This window comes from Homo sapiens, chromosome 10 (genome assembly GCF_000001405.40).
Source record: "Homo sapiens chromosome 10, GRCh38.p14 Primary Assembly".
NCBI classification, from domain to species: Eukaryota; Metazoa; Chordata; class Mammalia; order Primates; family Hominidae; genus Homo; species Homo sapiens.
Genome location: NC_000010.11, coordinates 121,411,201 through 121,416,419, shown reverse-complemented (window position 1 = coordinate 121,416,419; position 5,219 = coordinate 121,411,201). Strand labels below are relative to the sequence as shown.

The window sequence follows — 5,219 nt, the reverse complement described above, 5'->3', positions numbered from 1 at the left end:
TGCCATCAGCTTTGGGGCCACAGCCTTTATTGTCGAGTCCAGCAGTAAAAGAGCAAGTTCCCCTAAAGGTCCCAGCAAGACTCATTATTTCCATAGCTGTGCTTGGGCTCCATGTCCCCAGGGGAATGTGATGCTTTGATTCAGACCTTAGTCACCTGCCTTGCCTTGCCTTGGCACATGGTAGAGTCAACTTCACCTGAAAGTCCATAGACTGAGGACAGGGAAATAACTTCTTTTCTGGAAGAAATCAGGCACTGTTATTGGAAAGTGGATGAATGTTTGGTTGCAAAATTGGAGATGTTCACTCTGTTCCCTTAGAACAGACTTAAAAAGTCTGTTTTCTGCTTAAAAACCATCTCTTTATTCAAAATTCCTTTTTTTTTTTTTTTTTTTTTTTGATAGAGACAGGTTCTTGTTCTGTTGCCCAGGCTGGAGCACAGTGGCGTGATTATAGCTGACTACAGCCTCAAACTCCTGGGCTCAAGCGATCCTCCTGCCTCCAATCTGATGCCTTCCCACCTCTGCCATTACCACTTCCCACATCCCCTCCAGTGGCTGAGACTGTGGGCACACACCACCACACCGTGCTAACTTTTTGATTTTTAGTAGAGACAAGGTCTTACTGTGTTATCCAGGCTGGTCGCAAACTCCTGGGCTCAAGAGAACCTCCCATCTTGGCCTCCCAAAGCTCTGGGATTTCAAGCATGAGCCGCTGTGCCTGGCCTTTATTCAACATTCAACATCCATGCACACACCCATGTTTTTAACTTCCATCACAAGCATTAGCAATCAGCTGCCTTTTCAGAATCATTTTTCTAGGAGTTTTTACATACAATGCACAGAGAACACAAGCCACATAGTTATTAATGCAGAGATGTCTACCGAGACCCTTGCCAGACTTATAGTGTACATGATTTAAATTCATGCCTTGGAAACTTACAAATTGGTGCAGGGCATACAGCTTCTGGTTTTACTCTTGAGTGGCTGGAAGGACAAGTTGGTGACCTGGCAAAGAACTACAGTGATGAACATTTTATCAAGAGTGACAAAGGGCCTCAGCAGAGAAGAAAGCTGGTGGCCTGACCCCATTTGTGACTTCATTTGCCACTCATTCATTGCAGAAAACAAGGAATGCCTCTTTCCTTGACAGCTGTAACAAGGCATAGGGTGTGTCTGGGAGGGGCCACTCCCCATACACATTTGTCCTCAGGGAGTTGCCACTAAAGACCCTCCCACGAAGCACTGAAGGCAATGGTGTCATTACATACTGCAGTGTCTTCCAGAATGTGGGACTCACACCAGGGGAGAAATACTTTATGGCATTAGGGACAACACAGATAAGCACTTCTTCTCTTGAATAGCTATTCAAGAATTCCTTTGTTTAGATTTATAAGAACTCCACATGGCTAGCACCCTACACTCTGATTTTAGTGCTGTTGTTGCTGAAGGCAAGGCCAAAGCAAATAGCTTTCTGGTATCTGTCTTATGCAGACCTCATTAATCACTGGTGCAGTGCCCAGATAGAAGGTAGACACAGTGGAAGTTGCAAAGAAAGACTGCAAAAGGCAGAAGTTTGGGAAACATGACTCTTCAAAATGCTTTTACATTAAAAATGTTGTTTGCCTTTCTATTAGTTTTCTGCCACTGCATAACAAATGACTACAACTTTGGTAGCTTGAAACAATATACATTTGTTCTCTCACAGTTTTTCCATGGGTTAGGAACTAGACCTAGCTTTGCAAGTCCTCTGATCAGGCTCTCACAAGGCTGCAGTCCTGGTGCTGAGCAGCTGAGCAGGCTTATTTTCCTGAGCTCAGCATCCTCTTCCATGCTCATGTGGTTACTGGCAGAATTCAGCTCCTTGTGGTTGGAGGGCTGAGGTCACTGCTTTCTTGCTGGATGTCAGCTGGGGGCTAGTCCCAGATCCCAAAGGCCACCCACAGTGTTCGCCATGTGGCCCCTGCAGAGGTCCTCTTTCCAACATGGTGGCTAATTTCTTCAAGGCCAGCAAAGGAGTCTCCCTCCAGTCTGCTAAGATGAATCTTAAATAGACTAACATAATAGTAGGAGTGACTATCCCATCCTTTTTACTATGTAGTATAAGCTAATCAAGAGACTGACTCATCGCATTCACTGTTCTCACACTCAAGGGACAGGGCTATGCAGGGGATGTATGCCGGGGGTAGGAATCTGGGGCCATCTTGGAACTCTGTCTATCGCAGCATTTAATTTCTCCCTGTGATAGTTAATTTTATGTGCCAACTTGACTGGACCATGGGGTGCCCAGATATTTAGTTAAACATTACGTCTGAGAATGTTTGTGAAGCTGTCTCTGGATGAGATTAGCATTTGAATTGGTAGACTGAGTAAGCAGATTGCCCTCCTGAATGTATAGATGTGCCTCATCCTATCTGTTGAGAGCCTGAATCGAATAAAATGTTGAATAGGAAAGGATTCTTTCTGTCTGCCTGCCTGTCTTCAAGCTAAGGCATCGGCTTGAGTCTTTTCCTGTCTTTGGACTTGAACTGGGACTATACCATCAGCTCTCCTGGGTCTGGACTTGTCAGCCTCTGTAATCACATGAGTCAATTCCTTATAATAAATGGCTTTATATCTACCCACACACACACACATACACACACACACAGACAGGCCTGCACCATGCACACACGCCATGCATACACACACACTATGCACATACACACCATACACACACACACACACACACACACACACACACCACGCACACATCCTATTCTGTTTCTCTGGAGAACCCTAATACTCTCCTATTCCTTTTGTTCATTCACCAAATATCCCTTTAGTGTTGCATATGCCACACACCATGCTAGGTACTAGATATACAGTAGTGATAACAGAGACCTAGTTCCTACATTTATGAAGTTTACATTCAATCAGAAGATAGTCCCCAAGTGAGATTTGTATGCTGGGCCCTCCACACAGGGTCTGCAACAAAGAGGATGAGCCAACTCTCAGTGCTGACCCCCAAGCACCTTACTGTGTCTAACATGTAGGGTGGTAGTTGATGTGTGCTGTGGATGGGCTGTGTGTCCATCGTGTACGTGGAGAACTGGGTGCTGGAGGTAACTTTCTGTTGAGGTTATGGTGGGAAGGTTGGGGTTTGAGCTGGCAGACACGTCCAGTATGTCAATGCAGGAGGGCCTCAGGGTGGCAGTCTCAGTGAAAGGACCATGGGGACTAGTCTTGATGTATACCCAAAGCAATTTTATGTAGCACATGCATGAGAAGAGCATCGCTTGAGAAAAATGTCTGTTGTCTGTCTCAAAGCACGAGAGCTGAATGAGGAGAGGCTGGTCTGGGTACAGGTAGAGATGCTGGTGGGCAGGGGCCCCTGTGAGTGTCCTCATGGCCCTGCCATGGAGCTGGCTTTTAGAGGAGGTGGTAGTTTGATGGGGAGAGAGGTCAGGAGAGAGGCCTGAAGGAAAATGCAGTTCATCACTTTCCTAGTTTTCTACCTCTCCAAGTCATAATTTGTGTATTATAAAGTGAGACAAAGTCCATTTGGAGAATTTAAAATATACAAGTCATACATTGATGTCAGTTCAAATTTGAAAATGTTTATTCTTTGGAAAGGTATAAGGTTGTGACCAGAATGGTGGCATTGGTTTTGGGCCAAGGTAGGGAAAAAGAGGGGGCGGTAGAGGAGGGTGGCCCCCAGTCATCCTGGCTGGGAACGGTGGGGGTGAGTGGAGGGACGGACACAGCTTACTTCTCTCTGATCCCTGGAACCTGTCCTTCTTCCTGTGGTTCCTGCCTGGGCTGTCAGGGGCCTGCTGAGCCTGGGGGCCAGGCCCCTGATTATGTCCCTTCACCCCAGGCACCTTGCTGTCTCCTTCCCGGTGTTTGTCAGTAGAGTGCTCCAGCTCATTTCTTGATGACATTTAAAACCCAAGCAAGAGGGAGATGCACAGACCCTTCTTGTGTACTTGGCCCCAAAGGGAAGCCCGGCTGGGCAGTTGCCCCTCTGGGGGATTTGGAGCTTGAAGTTTGGGCACACCAGATAGCCAGTGGGGGTGACTGGAAGGAGAAAAGTTACTAGTGCCAGAGTGATCAGAATTCAAAATCCAGCTCTGTTACTTGCTAATGTCTTGGTAACCTTGGTAACCTTAGTTACCTGTGTTGAGCCTCTGAGTCTTCACCTGCCCAAAAGTGGTGGTTTTGAAGATTTGATGAGGCAGGGAACCCAATTGACCAGGGTATTGTCAGCTGCATTATATGTACTCGCTGAAAGTCAGTCCTCACTCCTTCTTCTCCACTGGGGTTAGGATATTTTAGATCTTCTAAGCAGTAGCATCCATACTGTACACTTAACTAACACCCTTCATGCAGCTACGAGTTATCATTTCATCTTAGGTTCAGAAAGTTCTTCAGCATCTTATAGTCTCTTTTGCTAGAGGTGGAGGCAGGAGGTCATTGGTGGGAGATGACGGGGAGTCCTGGCTAGTAGAACATAGAATACCTGAGAGCAGAGAGTCTGCAGTGCCTGGGACTTTGTGGCTTGAGTACATGTGGTTCTGTGGCTGTTTGTGACACATGTGCAAACCTGTGTGCAAGGCAAGTGATGTGGTCTGGCTGTGTCCCTCCCCCCCACATCTCACCTTGAATTGTAATAATCCCCATGTGTCAAGGGAAGGGCCAGGTGGAGATAATTGAATCATGGGGGTGAGTTTTTCCTGTGCTGTTCTCCTGATAGGGAATAAGTCTCAAGAGATCTGATGGTTCTTAAAGGGGAGTTCCCCTCCACATGCCCTCTTGCCCGCTGCCGTGTAAGACGTCTCTTTGCTCTTCCTTCGTCTTCCACCATGATTGTGAGACCTCCCCAGCCATGTGGAACTGTGAGTCCATTAAACCTCTTTCCTTTATAAATTATCCAGACTCGGGTCTGTCTTTATTAGCAGGGTGAGAACAGAAACAACAAGTGTTTCCCATTGGCGTGTGGGCTGTAGGCTGCCTCTCAATTGCTTAGCTCAGGACGGTTGGGGCAGAGCTGGTTTGAGGTCAGAGGTTTGCTCTGACTCTCTGTTGACTGTACCCATTTAATTTTACTCTTTATTTTACACCATAAAGTTTTTTCCTATTGCTTTCCTCTCCTGGTCCTTAAACATGAGATTTGGTTTTGCTTGTTTGCTGCCTCTGGGAGGTGGGGCTTCTGATTGAGCAGCAGCAGCTGGCAGGAAAAA

At 46.6% G+C, this 5,219-nt stretch overlaps 1 annotated feature.

Moving 5' to 3' along the window:
* Window positions 1,278-1,478: a silencer, noted in NCBI's record as "peak1118 fragment used in MPRA reporter construct". NCBI's record gives its function as "represses an SCP1 promoter by STARR-seq MPRAs in K562 erythroleukemia cells {active_cell/tissue: K562}" and the evidence as "EXISTENCE:reporter gene assay evidence [ECO:0000049][PMID:32103011]".